At 42.2% G+C, this 17,903-nt stretch overlaps 1 protein-coding gene across 8 annotated transcripts in view; it reads left to right on the top strand.

Annotated features, from left to right (window-relative positions):
* FAXC (failed axon connections homolog, metaxin like GST domain containing) overlaps window positions 1-17,903 on the top strand; it is a 78,896-nt gene that overhangs the window by 48,875 nt on the left and 12,118 nt on the right. For all 8 annotated transcript variants that reach the window (NR_144464.1, NR_144463.2, NM_001346533.1 and 5 more), the window contains one exon: window positions 9,362-9,478. Coding sequence is in view for 6 of the 8 variants with exons in the window: in NM_001346533.1 (NP_001333462.1) it covers window positions 9,362-9,478 (117 nt within the window). In the remaining 2 variants the exon portion in view is untranslated. The remainder of the gene's footprint in view (window positions 1-9,361; window positions 9,479-17,903) is intronic.

The following is a 17,903-nucleotide window of genomic DNA, read 5'->3' as shown; positions in this document are numbered from 1 at the left end:
TCCTCCTAAGGGATCCGTGCCTAGAGAGTTGATCTGAGCAAGGCTCACCACTCTGGGCAGGACCTAAACAGTGCTGGTGGTTAAAGATTTTTACCAGTTTTTGGTGATTATGTACATGTTTGAAAGTGGTTGAGTATCCTGGATTCCAGCTAAGGTGAAGCCTAAAATCCATAAAATGAAGAAAAGTCCTTCAGGAATGTGGAGTCTGCCTGCAGAGTTGAGCTTTTCTGGCCCCGAGGGCCAAACACAAAACCTCCCACTAGGATCTGCTGCTATTCAGCTTTCTCAAAAGATGGGCGAGTTCCTTATAAAAGGATTTGAACTTAAATTTCAACATGACATTGTGTTCTTTCTGATGTGGTGTTTCGTTAACCAGAATTTGGTGGCTACCAGATAGTCTTTATTGAATAAAGAGATAGAACAGCTGGTTCCTTTGATTGCCCAGCACAGGGCAGATGAGACAGAAATGAAATTGATGGGAAAGCCTGTCCTGGAATGCAGTTTGAATTGAGTGATATATTTTCTTTATCCTCAGAAGATGTATTTGGGAAAGTGATACTGGGGAGAGAGACTCATATAATTTTTATAGCCCTCAAATCTCACCATTTCAGCTGACTGTGCAGTCACTCAGAAGCAACAATATTGTAGCAGCTTCAAGAAGGGAGAGAACCAGGAAGGCTGATCATCAGTGAGTTGGTAAAACTGATATCTTTGTTGGAGATGTTAGCTGTAGATCTTTAAGACTTCCGGGAGCTGTTTAGTGATGCTAAATTGTAAGTGAGCCTGAGTAGGCATTTGCCTCATCCTGAGGAATACTTTCCTAATTTAGATGTGTAAAGTCTTTCCACACTGGTGCAAATCTTTCATCCAAGTTTCCTAAAATTATAAAGTATGCCCATGGATTCTCTGAGTGTCCAGAGTTCAGAAGGTGTTCAGACACATTAATAGAGGACCAAAGTACAGAGGAGGATACACAACCCTTTGCTTAGAGTCGGGGATTTATGTCCTTCCTGCTTTCATCCATAAGGAATTATAAGAGCTGGGACATCAGCAAAGAGACAGAGTGATGGTGGTATTGGTGGCCAGTGAGGAAGGTGTCGAGATAGTTCATATGAGCCGGAAAGAGATAAATTTTTGTGTGTTCTTTCAGAAAATCTTATTAAAAATTAAAGGAGTATCTAGTTGCTTTCTAGAATGAAATCTGAAGAGGGATTAAATTAAGGAGCTTCTTCTGGTATTTTCTCCACCCACCTTTATTTTTTCCCAGAATGTGAGCTAATTGGCGATCGTGAGCTAATCACAATCTATATAGTGATTTTAGAGTATGCTTGTAGTATGAAAACAAGGGCTTTGTGAAGGAAGTGGCTTGTCTTACATATTATTTCTGACAAAGTGGGGTCTGATCAGGAGTGTAAGAGAATAGGGAGTAGATTTTATTTTTCCTGTAGCTTTGCCCTCTGGGAGATTCACTTGCAGAAAAAAAGTTTTAAGTGTGTGCATTTAAGTGTGTGCTCTTTGATGCTTGGATAGTGAGATTACCGTGACCTCCTGTTTCATTGGGAAAAGCACTCAAAATCTTTGTTTCTTAATTTTTCTTCAATTTCTAGTTAATGAAAGGTGAGAGAGGGACAATTAGAAGTATGAATAATGTCCACATTGATTTTACTATAATTGCCTGCTTATAAATCACATGAGTGCTCAGGTATAGGGAGCCCTATGTAAAACACACAATTGTACTTTATGTCTTAGACTCATAGGGAAATGAGTCTTGGAAAATCTTTTGATTATTCTCTTTAGTTTCTCCCTTGAACTTATATTTTATAGCACAGCCAGTCTTGTCTCTTTTGTCACTTATAGAGTTTGGAAATTTAGCTAAATTGTGGAAGTGGAGCTGACAGTGACCAGTGGGAAGTGGGAAAAGAATTAGGGAGGAAGGAGATGAGATTCAGAAGTTCATTTCTGTAGTGTTTCCAGTGGTCTGAAATAAACTTTCTGTCCACCATCTCATAATGATATATATGAAAACAGGTGATCAGTTTTTCCTTAGAAGTATGTTAGTGGAGACTAGGAATGGGTGCTGTGGTAGAATAAATATGGCCATAATTTTTTTTTGTGAATTCCAGAGGAAAGAACTGAGATGCATGGTGGAAGTTCTAAGGAGACCATTTTGTTTCAGTATAAGGAACCATCTAAGCACAGAATAGTCTGCCCTACCCAGTAAATTATGGGAGAGAAGTTTCAGCAGGGTTGGGGTTGGGGATGGGGAGTATCTGGTAGGAAAGTGTGAGAAGGGATTCCTACACTTGGAGAGAGGTTGAACTGGTTCTGTCCACATTACTTGTTTTGATTGTTGGAAATGAGTATAAAAGAATTCCTTATGTTAGAATAGCACCTCCTAGCTTGCAAAATGCTTTCACATTATTATACTTTTTAATCACTATTATAGCTCTCCATTTTGAGAAAGGACAGAGATCAAACATAATTAAGGCTATCATAACCTTAATTGATGGTTCCTATGTGATAGGTACCAGATGGACAGAAAAGTAAAATAGAAGTTTACTTGCCCTCAAGGTGCTTAAAAATTATTTGAGGAGATAGGACCTACACGTAGGTAAGACTGCAAGATGGCTGTGTGATTTACCTAATGTGTGAGCTAGACCAGTGGTTCTCAAAGTGTGCTCCCTGGAGCAGCAGTATCAGCATTACTTGGGCTCTTGTTAGAAATGCAGATTCTTGGATCTCACTCTGTACCTACTGAATCAGAAACTCCTGGGATCAGGGACTTGAGTTAGTGTTTTTAAAAAGCTTTCAAGGCCAGGTGTGGTGCTGTATGCCTGGAATCCCAGCACTTTGGAGGACAAGGCGGCAGGATCACTTGAGCCCAGGAGTTCAAAACCATCCTGGGGAACATAACGAGGTCTCATCTCCACTAAAAAAGAAAAAAAAAAAAAAGCCTTCCAGGTGATTATACTACATGCTCAAGTTTAAGACCAATGATATACTCTAGCCCAGTACTTCTTAAGCTTCAGTGTGCACAAGAATCACCTGGAACAGTGCTATTCACAGTCTGGTCCAAGAACTGCAGACTATCCTGGTGATTTTAATACCTCTAAAGTTTGAGAAACCCTGACCCGAAAGCTTGTTAAACACAGGTTCTCTAGTCCCATTCCCAAGTATTCTGATTCAGTGATGGGATCTAAGAATGTCTAACTAACACTCAGGTGCTGCTGGTGCTGCTAGACTACTCTCTCAGTAGCCTCGCTCTAAGCAATTCGCCCCTCTGGGATTTAACAGAGGCGTGGACAATGAGAGGTTCCAGTAGACTGGGACCGTGTGGGAAGCCTTCATGCAGTGGAGGAGGTAGGACTTGGTCTGAGTCCTAATGGAAAGGTCAGGCTTAGATAGCCGGAGTTATTTGGGGCAGGGAGGATAGGATGAGCACCTGCATGTTTGACTGAAGTAGACCATTCATAGGAGGTAGAGCTCGGTTTGTCCTGCCCAGGTCTGGAGAGCATCACACACTGTCAGCTCTCATACATCCTCCCCAAGGGGGCGGCTCAGAGCCAGGCAGTGAGCAAACAGCCTAGGATTGTGAGCACTTCCTCAGTTATGCTGCGTATGGCACCCCCTCCCCCACTGGAACTTTCAGGGGCATGTGGCTCTCTGCTTGTCCCCTCCTATTCTCTTGGTTCCCTTGCTCATCAAGTTCAGCTCGCTTCAGCTTTGCAGCTTGCTTGTTCCCTCAATTTGGCCTAAGTCTTCAGGCCTGGATTCTGGCCATTCTTCTCAGACTCAATATTGCTTCCATTCTCCCTGGACAACTGTGTGTCTTTGTCCTCTATTGTTCTCCCTGCTCTGCTCATCCAGCCATCCGCTCAGTTAGTACTCAGTGGGGGTGAGGGACCTAGTCTACATGCTCAGTCCTCCTCCACATACTCTTGTCTTTGCTGTGTCCCTTATCTCCTGGTCAACCCTCTGTGGCTGCCCATGACAGAAGTGGAAGACAATGTGGGAAGGGCTGGTCAAGCTTGGCAGTCAGGATAAGCAGCCTTGGGTTAATCAAGTTCACTAAAGGCTTATAACCAATGATCCATGACAAAGTCCAATCACAGTGAACTCAAGTCTGGGTAAGAGAGCTGATATCCATCAGGACCCCTTAACATTCTTGTTATTCATGGTTTAGTACTTCCACTCAGTTTTTGGTCATCCTTGGGTGCCCCAGTGGTTCCTTCATCTACAATATGGCCTTCCTCACAGAGAGGAGCTGCCTAAACCACCCAGGAGAGGTCATATGAAATTTTACAGATATCCAGGGCCAACTGTCATTTTCCAGCCCCACAGTAGAACCAGCCCCTGCTACTCCCCCTATGGGCTCTCCTTCTCCAGATCCACTTGGCTCCTCCCTCTGGCTGCATGGTCACTGTCCTTGTATTTTATCCCTGGTCTGTGCTCTCTGATTGCCACTTGAAGACCAAGCCATGAGGTCTGTCGGGTCACTGCGGGAACCTGAAGTCACTTTGCTACTATCAGGATGTGGACTCACCCTCATCGTCAGGAGGGCTCTGCACCCTTGGGGAGGTGTTCTGGGTGCTTAGAAGCTGGCCTCAGGTGGAGCATACTTTAGAAGGTCTGATGTACCCTAGGTCCCTTCACACCCGGGGCTTTGATGTTTTCAACCTTCATTTTCCCTCACTGATGGTTCACAGTTCACATTCTGAGCTCGGAGGCTGGCAGGGGAGTTACAGGTGCCCACATATCCCTCAGCTGCTTCTGTCCATCCTATGGAAGTCACCGGATGGTTCACCTGCCAAAAATGAAGCTCACAGTGCCTCACCACCCAAGTCTCCTCCCTCAGTGCCCTTCACAAGTGTCCTGAGTGTTCTGCTTTTGCCAAAACCCCCTGGTCGTGAGATCCAGGGCCACTTTGCAAACCCCAAGAGTGCTGCAGTCCGAAGCCTTTAACTTGGCCTCTTTGTCTCTAAGCAGAGTCAACTCTTATTTGATTTCCTTTTAAAAATGTTTTTTTTGCCAAGCTCCCAAAGGCCAAAGCTGGAACAATTTGAGCAACAAAATAATGAGAGTATTGGATTATAACCTATAGAATAAAATAAATATCCATTAGTGCATACTTACATAAATAAATAATTGAATACATTAGGAAATGGGAAAGAAAGGACAGTAGAATTCTAATCAATACAAAGAATGAGAGAAATTGAAACTCACAATGAAGCAAACACTACAGTAATATTTGCTTCAGATAACATCCACCAATGGACACTAAAATTAGCAGGCCAAAGTTTGAGGAGAAACAGGATATTTATAAAGTCTCAAAGTGTCTCTGTCAAGATTATTAGTTACAAAGGAATAAATCTTAACTTTATAGTGAAAAATCTAGCAGATACCACCTTTACCACATGGTTACGGTTAATATCACAGTCATAAGATATAGGACATTATATGCTCCCTGATATGATGCCCTGCGAAGGTGTATTAGTCAGGATTCTTCAGAGAAACCGAACCATTAGGATTTATTATATGGAGTTGGCTCACACAATTATGGAAGCTGACAAGTCCCAAGATCTGCAGGATGAGCTGGCAAGCTGGAGACCTAGGAGGGACCAGTGTCCCAGTTTGAAGGCAGTTAGGCAGAAGGAAATCTGTCGTCGTTACTCAGGTGAGGGGTCAGCCTTTTTGTTCTATTCAGGCCTTCAACTGATTGGATGAGGCCCACCCACCTTAGGGAGGACAATCTGCTTTACTCAGTCCACTAATTCACATGCTAATCTCATCCAGAAACACCCACACAGACACACTGTGCTATTTTTGCAACATTTCTGTAAATCTAAAATTATTTTAAAATAAAAATTTAAAAAGGCTTTCTGCCATCAGGTATTATGAGGACTTTTGAATGATGGGAATTTTTATATTCTTTACATTCATAACTGTCCTGTATGTGTGTACACATATATAATTTTAGATCTGCCACTCAGCATTTTCCACAGATACTAAATTCCACCTATATTTTTGCAGGCACCTTTGAAAACACCTGATTTCTGTTCTCTTTTCCCTTTTGCGTTCTGTGTTCCTTCCTGACAAAAGCATCCTTTTGTAAACTTTCACAGCTCAGCCCTCCTGCTCTTCCATATGGTCTTTATCTCTGAGATTAAGGTCCATGTGGCACATTGTGGAGACCGAGAGCATCGGCCAGAAGTCAGGAGACCTGGTAGCATTCTCAACCTTGTTCCTTAGTCACTAACTCAGTGTCCTTCCAGTTTTAACATTTCGAAGCCAGATGGCGAATTTTGGCCAGACATTATATGCGCTATTTGATGTGTGGGTTCAAATGATTTTTTTAATCATTTTTTCTTTTTGTCAAAGTCCTGTGTGTTCTATTTCTAGGTTTTCCAAATTTTTATTCATATTTATGTTTCACATTTTGCCTTCAGTCTTTGGATTCTACAAGACTTCAAAATTTATGGACTTGACTCTGGCATTTCCCTTAGAGTCCTTTTGAGTAATTCAAGGACAGCAACATTTTCTTTCTCCCCCTCCCCCTCTTTTTTTGACCATGAAGCCATTGTTGCTCTTAAAAAAACACACACACACAACAAAAATCCTGTTTTCTTCTCTCTGAGGCTGTGAATAGCCCTTCTCATAGTGGTCCTGAAGCCCTCTCATGGCTTCCAGTGTGTGGGTAGACCTGTGTTTGGACTTTGAATGGGTTGAGCCTGGTACAATCCCACAGGGAGGACTGTTTGGCCACCTGGCCAACACCCCCTCCTGCCCTAGCAGGATGGCAGGAGAGCTCCTGTGCAGTTTCCCTCTGCCTGCCTGCGTTCACTTAATGCCAGCAGGGGTGCGGTGGAGGCATGGCGCCAGCGGGATGCACCCTCAGGAGTAACACCTTAGGAGTTGCTTCTTATGGTATCTGATTTTTCCTTATTATTTCTGTCCGGTTGGTACTTTCTCTGGATTCCCCCCAGTATTTGGATAATGGTGTAAGACTCAAATGATGGAGAAGTTGGTTGACAATAGGAAATAGCTAAGAACTCTAATGTGAATGACTTGATTGTCCTTGCCAGAAAAGGCAATTTGGTTAGGTTCAGCATATTGCCCTACTGTAGGGTATTTCTTGGTCTCTATGGCATATATAGGGGAAATGATTTTTAAAAATCACTTTCTGCTTCATTTGTGCTGTAACAGTTGTTACCTTGTGTTCCCACCTCCAGCCATTTCCCCCTCCTGTCTTTCCTGTGCATTGTCATCAGATACTCAGTTTCCTCAGCTTGTCACTCAAGAACGGTGAAAGGGGTAGATATTCCTAGAGTACAGCATGTAGAACCAGGCCAGGCATGTAGTAAATGTGGTATAAGGGTTTGCTAAATAAAAGCAAGAATTGACCCTTACTTTCAAAGAGCTAACAATTTAGCTGGAAAGATAAAATGCACACACACACACACACACACAGACACACACACACACACACACACACACACACACACACACACACACACACTGTGTATAGAGCATTATGGGAAAAATGTCACTCAAGAAGCCTGAGAGACAAGAGGCAGGATATATCTGCTGTGTGCTCTGCTCAAGTCACCTCAGTTATTCTTCTCATTTTATAGTTCAGAAGGTTAATAGGCATTAAATGCCTTAAAGTCCTATAAGGTTGTATGTGCAAAAGGGAGATGTAAACACAGGACTGTATGAACTGAAAGCTCCTGTTGCCACCAGAAAGCTTTGAAAGCAGGCTGGAGCTGGACCTTGACGGATGGATAGAATTGATTCGAGAGAAGTGGTGAGCACATATAAGTTGTGGGGGCAGAGAGAGGGTGCACAGCATGAGCAAAGGTGTAGCAGTTGGAGGCATAAATTGTGCTGGGGAATGGGGGTGGTCCCCAGGTTTGCTAGGATAAGGGAGGAATGAAGGATACAGCTGGAACATGGGTTGGAGGCAATGTATAATGCACTTTAAGTTCTAAGTTGAGTTTGGACTTCATTTTATAACTCATTTCAAAAGCCATGGAAGGTGTTTGAAAGGGAGTGACATGATTAAAAGAGTGTCTTAGGGCCGGGCGCAGTGGCTCATGCCTGTATTCCCAGCACTTTGGGAGGCCAAGGTGGGCAGATCACTTGAGGTCAGGAGTTCAAGATCAGCATGGCCAACATGGCGAAACCCTGTCTCTACTAAAAATACAAAAATTAGCCAGGCGTGGTGGTGGCTGCCTGTGATCCCAGCTACTTGGGAGACTGAGGCAGGAGACTCACTTGAACCTGGGAGGTGGAGCTTGCAGTGAGCCGAGATAATGCCACTGCACTCCAGCCTGGGCAATAGAGTGAGACTGTCTCAAAAAAAAGTCTTAGGAAGTTGATAGTGTCAGGTGGGATGTGGAAAGGACTGGAGAAAGGTAGGGGCTGTCATGAGTGCTAATGTACATTATGTCATTTTGTCCTCACAATAGCCCAAAGAAATAGAAACTCTTAGTTTCATCCCCATTTCCAGATGGGAAAACTGAGGCTGTAGAGGTTACGTGATGATCAGATTCCCACAGTGAATAACGGTGATGCCAGGATGTGAGCTAGGCAGCTCCATCTCCCCTAGTGCTCCCTCCATATGCAGTAGTGTCTAACAGTAGCCTGGGAGATGACTTGGGTCAGTTTTAATAGGTTGAGTGTGATAGTCCGGTGACAAGGCCTGGATGAAGTCAGTAGTGTGAAATGGAGAGATGGGAGCAGTAGTGTGAAACATCCTTTCATGGGATCGTGATGCCAGGGCTGAGCCTGTGACCTCATAGCTACTCTTTACTTATTGTTTTCCATGGAAGCTGATCCTCAGAGGTGAGAACTTTGCCAGGACCATGTAGCGTCATGGGAAACCTCACCTCCAAACCTCTTAAGGAGCTTAGGCTTCTTGTTTTTCCTGGGGAAATATATTTAAATTAATAATGTAAGTGCTGATGTTGGCTTTGCTTGCTTTGGGTTACTTTTGAGATGATTTAAGCAAACTTCCAGGTGTTCTTAAGCATCACAGGCTTTACTTGAGTTTGAGACAAGAAGGTTCCCAGAGGTCTGGTGGTGATCAGTTCTCCCTTTTTTCCATGAATGCCCTTCCTCATCTGCTTATTTTGGTATGTTCCCTGTGTTGCTGTTCTATGGGTTGATGTATCACATGATTGCTTAATTCATTTTACTTTTGTTCTATTTTTTTTTAAGCAAAAGGGTGTGCATGTATTTCGATTCTGCAAAGCTTTTTGGTATCAGTAAAGGAATATGTAATAGAATGTGCTAAATGCCATTGTGATGATGTGGGGCAGTGTGGGCCAGCCCATTGACTTCTCTGCTTTATTTACTGCAGGTGATAAGAAGTACATCATGGGGCCCAAGCTTTCCACTCTTGACGCCACTGTCTTTGGACACTTGGCACAGGCAATGTGGACCTTACCAGGGACAAGACCCGAACGGCTGATCAAAGGCAAGCCCTACACTCTTCTTCAGGTTTTGGGGCTTACTGGGGCTGGGTGGGCAGTGGGGTAGCACAGTGGAGAATTCTAGACCAATGCTTTCGTCTTGGGTGTGCTTTATGGAGACACCAGGCATGGTGTACAGGGCTAGGGTTGGTTCTCTGTACTCAGGATACTTTGGGGTGGAAGAGAGACTGGGCTTCTCACCTGCTGTCTTGCCCAGACTATGTTCTTAGCAGTGCTGACATAGGTCCTGCGATGTTTTTATGCTAGCGCTTTTCTTCCATCTGCTTACATAGTGGGACTTAAGATTTGTTGCTGAAATAGGGCTTGAATTCCACCTAGTGCCCTTGCTTTGCTGGTCTTCCTTAATTTCCTTTGGGCAATGGGGGCTCCCCACTTTCTGGTATATCCAGCTACATCAACTACGGTGGGCTGACGCTGATGAACTCACTGGCTGTTTCAGATGCTCTGAGTCTAAACTGTTTTTCGATGTTGCACATGTAACTGTAAGTACATAGGATTCTGTGCCATTTGCATTCAAGCCACTCTTTCCTCCTGTTCTAACAGAGTGGCTATAGATCATTCACTAAGAGTAGCAGAGCAGCCGGATGCAGTGGCTCACGTCTGTAATCCCAGCACTTTGGGAGGCCAAGGCGGGTGGATCACAAAGTCAGGAGTTCGAGACCAGCCTGGCCAATATGGCAAAACCCCATCTCTACTAAAAATAGAAAAATTACCTGGGCATGGTGGCATGCACCTGTAATCCTGGCTACTCAGGAGGCTGAGGCAGGAGAATCTCTTGAACACAGGAGGCGGAGGTTGCAGTGAGCCAAGATTGTGCCACTGCACTCCAGCCTGGGCGACAGAGCAAGACTCCGTCTTAAATTAAAAAAAAAAAGCAAAACTAGTAGAGCTAAAAAATTCAAGACTGGGAAAATGAAAATGTCAACAAATACTTTGTGAGTCTAGTGCTTTCCGAAGTATTATTATTATTATTATTTTTTATTTTTGAGACAGGGTCTTGCTCTGTCACCCAGGCTGGAGTGCAGTGGTGCAATCTTGGCTCACTACAACCTCCGCCTCCCGGGTTCAAGAGATTCTCCTGCCTCAGCCTCCTGAGTAGCTGGGATTACAGGAGTGCAACACCATGCCCGGCTAATTTTGGTATTTTTAGTAGAGACGGGGTTTTGCCATGTCGGTCAGGCTGGTCTTGAATGCCTAACCTCAAGTGATCTGCCCACCTCGGCCTCCCAAAGAGCTAGGATTACAGGCATGAGCCACCACGCCCGGCCGCCCAAAGTATTATTTATGTTAATTTTGACCAAAGAAACACAATCTTAGTACTTTTTTTGTGTAATGTGTACCTTGGATGTGAGGCCTATCAGAATTACAAGAGATATGAGAGGGGAAGCTAAGGAGCAAGGATACGTAGAACCAGTGCTAGGGGATGAACATATATGTGTGGGGTGGGTGTGGGGTTGTAGCCAGAAGTAAAATTCATGGTGGAAATGGCATACGGAAAGATAGCTCACCTTGGATTGATGTGCCAGGGACCAGATCTTGGGGTGTGTGTATGTGTGTGTGTGTGTGTGTGTGTGTGTGTGTGTGTGGTGGGGTAGGGTGGTGGGATATACAGATGGTTCCTGACTTATCATTGTTTGACTTATGATTGTTCAACTTTGAGGTTGTGAAAAACAATACTTGTTCAGTAGAAACTATACTTTGAATTTTGATCTCTTCCTGGGCTGTCCATATGTGTGGTGCAGTACTCTCTTCTGGTGCCGAGTGGTGGCACTGAGCCATAGTTCCCAATCAGCCATATAATCATGAGGGTAAATAACTGATACTGTATAGTGTGCTGTGTTGCCAGATGATTTTGCCTTACTGTAGGTTAATGTAAGTGTTCTGAGCACGTTTAAGGTAAGCTAAACTAATGTATGATGTTTGGCAGGTTAGAGGTGTTAAGTGCATTTTGGACTATATATATATATACACACACACACACACACACACACACACACATATACATATGTACATTTACATATACATATATATTTTAATGGGGTCTTGCTCTGTTGCCTAGGCTAGAGTGAAGTGACATGATTATGGCTTACTGTAATCTCAAACTCCTGGGTTCAAGTAATCCTCCTGTCTCAACCTACTGAGTAGCTGGGACTTCATGAGTGAGACATCATGTCCAGCTAATTAAAAAATTTTTTTTTAAAAATAAATGAGGTCTTCCTGTGTTGCCCAGGCTGGTCTTGACATCCTGGCCTCAAGTGATCCTCCTACCTCAGTCTCCCAAGTAGCTGAGATAACAGGTATGAACCACTGTGCCCAGCTGACTTATGATATTTTTAGCTTTCAATGGGTTTATGGAGATGTATCCCCACGTAAGTCGAGGAGCATCTGTATGTGGCAGCCAGGGCCTCTGGGAGAGGCTTCCCCTGCATAGTTGCATGGGAACTGTTTGAGGCAGTACCTAAGCAAGTGCCTGGGGGCCAGGGATGTGGGGATCAAAGTTCAATATTTAGGTTTGGGGAGGAGGGTTGACAAGAATTAATCAAAATGTTTATGCCCAACTGAGCAGGCTGGGTATGTAGATGAGAGACCAGTAGAATAGCACATAGAATGCTCTTAATAAATGTCGGATGGATAGCTGGATGGGTCAATGGATGGATGGATAAATGGATGGACAGATGGATGGGTGAATGGATGGATGGATGGAACCAAGCAAGGCAGAATCATACAAGAAACTGAGGCAGGCAAGCAGTCATGTGTGGTGGTCATGTAGATGGGTGGGGAAGTGGTGGAGCCTGCAGCTCTGTGTGTGTGTGTGTGTGTGTGTGTGTATGTGTGTGTGTCGATTCATGTGCATGCCCAGGAGGTTAGACCAGGCTGACGCCAGCAGCTCTCACTCTCCAGATCCTCTTATTGGTGGGGACAGAGCTCCAGATACATTATCAGACTTCATTGGAATGGGTCAGGCATTGATCGAAGGTTTTCTGGAAGTTCAGCTGGGTGGGACTAGGGATAGTATGGACTGTCATTTAATTTCCTAAATGGTCATTATGAGGATGTTCCTTGTTTTGCAATACATTGGAACTTCTCTAAACTAAATATGTTATCACATTGGTGAGGTTCGTGGCATTTAAAATATTAGTTTCCCTTTAATTTAATCACATTTTCCATAGTCGTCTAAAAGATGTTGATTCCTTTTAGTTCATTTAGGGCTGTGTTTTATATCCATTCTCTGTTCCTATTATTTCCTACTTTATTCCCTCCGTTCTCCTACCATACCACCCTTACACACCCACATGTATATACACACTCACATCTACTCACATGCTCTATACAACCCCCCACACACTCACTTGTACAGATATACCTACACTTCTACCCAAACACATCCCTACATACACACATATGTGTGTACATACACATACAAATGTGCACACACACACTGTTGTGGTCATCTGTTACTTAGTCTGAAGTATTTAGGGACCCCATTATCAGTAGAACTCACAGACTCTACAGAATTTTTTCTTTCAGAAATGATGCATTTTTTGTTGTGATTTGGCCCTTTTCTCTATTACTTCCTGAAAGGACTTGAGGCATTTAGTGTTCTTTTAAAAGAAATGATCAGCCTTTTGGAGGATTGATTTTGGGCCTCATGCACATCTGGGGAATCTGACACCATCATCTGCACGGGGCTTTTGGCACATTGTTGTATGTACTTTGATTCTTAAAGTAGCTTCCAGCTTTCCCTGGGTGCTGGTGTAGCATGAATTATTAAAGTCCACAGGGATCTCTAAATCCCATTTTAGGCATTAGTTCCATACCCCTTCTAAATCTTTGGAGGGGAGCTGATAACATGCAGCCAAACTACTACTGCTGTAATTTGCTCTCAACCTCTTTCCCTGCCTTTGCTGTCTCTGTGGTAGAGACTTTCTCAAGAAGTAACATGAGAAGGGTTAAGTAGAAACAAGTAGCCTGGAGATTTTAGAACTGGGTGAAACCCAGGCATGTAAGTGGCTCGGATTCAGGCAGTTTTCTGCTTTAGCTTTGGAACGGCAGAAGCACCACTGGCCTTGCCTCATTGTGAGTGTGTTTGGATGAATATTAGTTTTTTGGTCCAACATATTATTTATAAAGCCACACAAGCTACTTCTGGAACCATGTAGAATAGTATGAAGTTTTCCTTCAGTTAGATGAGCAGGAGGACAGGCTTTGAATATACATATGTATGCATATGTCTATCTAGATAGACATATAAATATGAATAATAATTTGCTTCCTGAAGAAAATTTAGAAAAGATAGAAAAGTTTTAAAAGAATAAAAAATAACTTGTGACACCATTTTTCACAGAGAACAATTGCTGATATTGTGGTATGTATGTAATCTTTTATCAAATGTAAGTATGTATATATATATTTTTTAAGCTGGGATCATAATGTTGATACAATTATAACCTAAAGTTTTAAAATTAACTGTATTTTGGCCATTTCCCTTGTCATGAAATATTCTTCAAAATGGTATTTTTAATAGTTGCATAATATCCTATCCTATGGCTATATGGTAATTTATGTGATTAATCTATTTCTGGACTTGTGGGTTGTTTTAAATAACTTTTACTAATATTCTATAGTGAATATTGTTATAAATATATACTCTTGCTCATCTCTGATTATTTCCTTAGGCTACATTTCTTGCTCGGTAATTACTGTCTCAAAGGGCATAAGCTCTTGGTCTACATGGCTAAATTGCTTTCTAGAAAGATTATACAATTTATATTCTCATGAGCAAAGTCTGAAAGTACTTCCAATTTTTGCTCCTTGATTAGGGTTGAATATAATTTATTTTGAAATTTTTGCCATTTTATACTGAAAAAAATCTCAGTTTTATTATTAGCAACATTCCTAATGTGGAGTTAGATTTGATATTTTCATCAGGGATCTTATCAGAGAATTGCATGTGGATTGGGGCACTCCTTAAAACAGATGTGGAGAGCTTAAGAAAGCTGAGAAAAGTGAAATTGAAGCCATGATGGGTCAAGAGCTCTGCAGCGTGTCTGCATGTCCTCCAGAGTCCTATCAAAACCACAGACCTTAATGCTATTTTCTGAATTAGGAGGAGCTCAACCTTCTGTGCTCTAGGAAAAACCTCATTCAGCAACTTTCACCAGCAATTATTTATTTTATTGAATGTCCTTTTTACTTAATACTTGATAGATTAAAAAGTGGAAAAAATGCTGCATCTCCTTGACCAGCATGTAAATATCTCCTCACTCCTGCACTCTTACTATTCTCCATCTGGAGGGAAGTGTTCAGGAAGAGGTTGTCGTGAGGAGATTTGGGTTTCAGGAAAGGGCTGGAACGAATTACCTTGGCCTGTTTTTGTATTTGGAGATCTGTGAATTAATATTTTTTAGCTTCGAGGAGACAAGGCAAAGGGGGTGTTTTCATTACAGTATTCAAGTATTTTAGGAACTTTTCTGAAGAGGATATATGCTCAGTGTCCTCCATGCCTGCATGACAGATGCTAAAAGGAGCAACCAAGGGTGTAGTCAGCGCCTAGCATGGATCTGGAACAGGGAGGTGCTGAGTAAATACCTGTAGAGCAAATGAGTGTGTTTGGATGTTGGCCTATGTTTTCCAAGTTATTGCTGGTTCGTGACCAAGGGCTGGCAGGTGCTGCTGCGAGACATTGGCATGCTTCTCTCTCACCCACATTCCTGCCTTGTATGATTGGCAGCTGGGAGAACCTTACTTCTGGATTCTGGGTTTGGTTGACAATGTTTTCAGCATCAAGTTGTACAGAATGTTTTGATTATTAGAGAAATTAGAGGAATACAGGAATATAAAATACATCACTTTATTTGAAGAGCAGGGAGGGCATTTCCATTTGAGAAACTTTAACAGAAAGGTTCTTTATTCTATCTGGGATTATCTTCTGGGTAGGGGGGCATTCGGCTTTCTGATAAATATCCTCTCAAGTTGTCTGAGAATATCACTTTGTTTCTTACCAATTGATTTTATTGGATTTTTAAATTTGAAAAGTAATACATGATGGTTACAGTAAGTTGAATTACAAAGGTATAGTTTAAAAAGTTTATGGCCTTCTCCTCATCCATGTCCAATATTATTTCCACAGAATAATCAATATTAAGGATTTAATGTAAATCCTTTTGTGCCTTTTTCATGTACAGATTTGCATAGCATATCTAGGTGTTTCAGTTTGTTTGTTTTCACTGTTTTTAAACTAAATGGAATTATACTATACACATTATCTATAACTTGTTTTTTTCACTTAACAGAATATCATATCATTTTAACAGCTTCACAATATTCTATAGCATAGATGCACCTTAATTTATTTCATCAATACCTATTGATGGAGATTCAGGCTGTTTTCATCATTTACTTCTCTTTTTTTGCTTAAAAAAGCTTCATTTGATATCCATGTACATATATCTTTACATACCACTGCTTTTATTATAGTTGAATAGAGTACTAAAAGTGAAATCCTGGGCCAAGAGATATGCACATTTAAATTTTTGATAGATAACATCAGATTACTTTCCAAAACAGGTTATAGCAATGTATGCCTCTGCCAGCCATGTAGTACAATGCCTGACCCTCCACATCCTCATCAGCATTGGATGTTATCAGACTTTTTTTTTTTTACCAGTCAAGTAGATGAAACTGTTATCCGATTGTTGAGTACACTTTGAAGAAATGCAGTTTTTCTATTATTTTGCAAACTTATGTCTTCTGTATAGGCTTTTTTTTTTTTTGAGATAGAGGCTCACTCTTATCTCCCAGGCTGGAGTGCAGTGGCAGGATCTCGGCTCACTGCAGCCTCTGCCTCCCTGGTTCAAGTGATTCTCCTGCGTCAGCCTCCCAAGTAGCTGGGACCACAGGCGCCTGCTACCACAACCGGCTACTTTTTGCATTTTTTAGTAGAGATGGGGTTTCGCCATGTTGGCCAGGCTGGTATCGAACTCCTGGCCTCAGGTGATCCGCCCACTTCAGCCTTCCAGAGTGCTGAGATTACAGGCATGAGCCAGTGTGCCCGGCCTGTATAGGCATTTATATTAACACAGGCTTATCACACACACACACACACACACACACACACACACACACACAGACACTCCACACAACCTGTTTCTGCTGCCAACTTTTTCTGTTCTTTTGTCCAGTAGCATGTTAAGTGGCTCAGCTGATGGTGAATCTAGCCACAGAAAGGGATAGGCAAAGCCAGAAAAAGATAAAACCCAACTATAGATGTCCACTCTCTGTTTCACTCTTTATCATGGGCAGGAATTGAGGAGTGTGTGGGCTCCCAGCTCTTGCTCATCAAAGCAAACCCTTTCTCAACTACATGTTGGAATGATCACTTCTTTTATGATAGCTCATTGCCATTAAGGGGTGGCACCTGTCTCCTCATAAGTCTTGAGACCTCAAGAATAATTACAGAAAAATATTCCATGACAGGTAGTGCAATACTATTAATTCCCAGGCCATGCTGTCAGCTCATCAGTAGAGAGTTGAGTGGAGGTGAAGGGCATGAGGACTAACGAGGTTAATATGAATTCAACAGGTGAGTGAAGCACTTTACATGCCTGGCACACAGTCAGGACTATGTAACTGTCTGCTATTATGATTATTACTTTTTATTATTGCATACTGAAGTGGTATTAATGTCACATGATCACAGAGCAGACACCTCTTCTGGAGAAAGGTGAAGAAACAAGCCTGTAGAAAGAAAGGCCATCAATGAAGTGATATTCATAGATCCTGTGGATCTTGTGAATAGATTCTGATTTTCTGTAGGAAAAGCTAGTAAGGAATGGATTTGATTGAGTCAAACAGGGCTGTCCCCAGGTCCTACTGTGAAGTGACTGTATTTCATCTTTGATGTCTCTTTACCTCCCCAATTAGATATTTTTTTTTTCTCTTGCTGCTGCCCTCACATCTTTATTCAATTCTTGGTCCCCTGGGATTGGCAGCAATACCTGGTGAGGCGTTTCATGACTGTCCCCATAAGGGAGAAAGTAAGTGAAGGTTTTCCATGCTGCATCTCCTCAAAAGGAGCAATGGTGTTGACTTCTCAGTTTCTGGCTCCTGAGCATGTGCACAGATATCTTCTAGAAGAGAATAGATTTTTACATAGTGGGGGTTGAGCTGTTATAATTTGAGAAGACTGGAAATGGTGACCTGGAGCCAGTACATGTCCATGGGATCCATGAAGCAGGGGGATTTGCTTTGTTATGTTTTGCAGGGGATGTAAGTAAAACAGCAATCAAGTTTTGAAAAATTTTAACATGAGAAAATGTTTACAATAATGTTACAGGAGATAATATGTAATAATAATGGCAATAGGTAAATAGAAAAAATACTGAAAGAAGTTACACCAAAATGTTAATT

This window comes from Homo sapiens, chromosome 6 (assembly GCF_000001405.40).
Source record: "Homo sapiens chromosome 6, GRCh38.p14 Primary Assembly".
NCBI lineage: Eukaryota > Metazoa > Chordata > Mammalia > Primates > Hominidae > Homo > Homo sapiens.
Note: the sequence above shows the minus strand (reverse complement) of the source record. Positions and strands in the feature narration are given on the sequence as shown.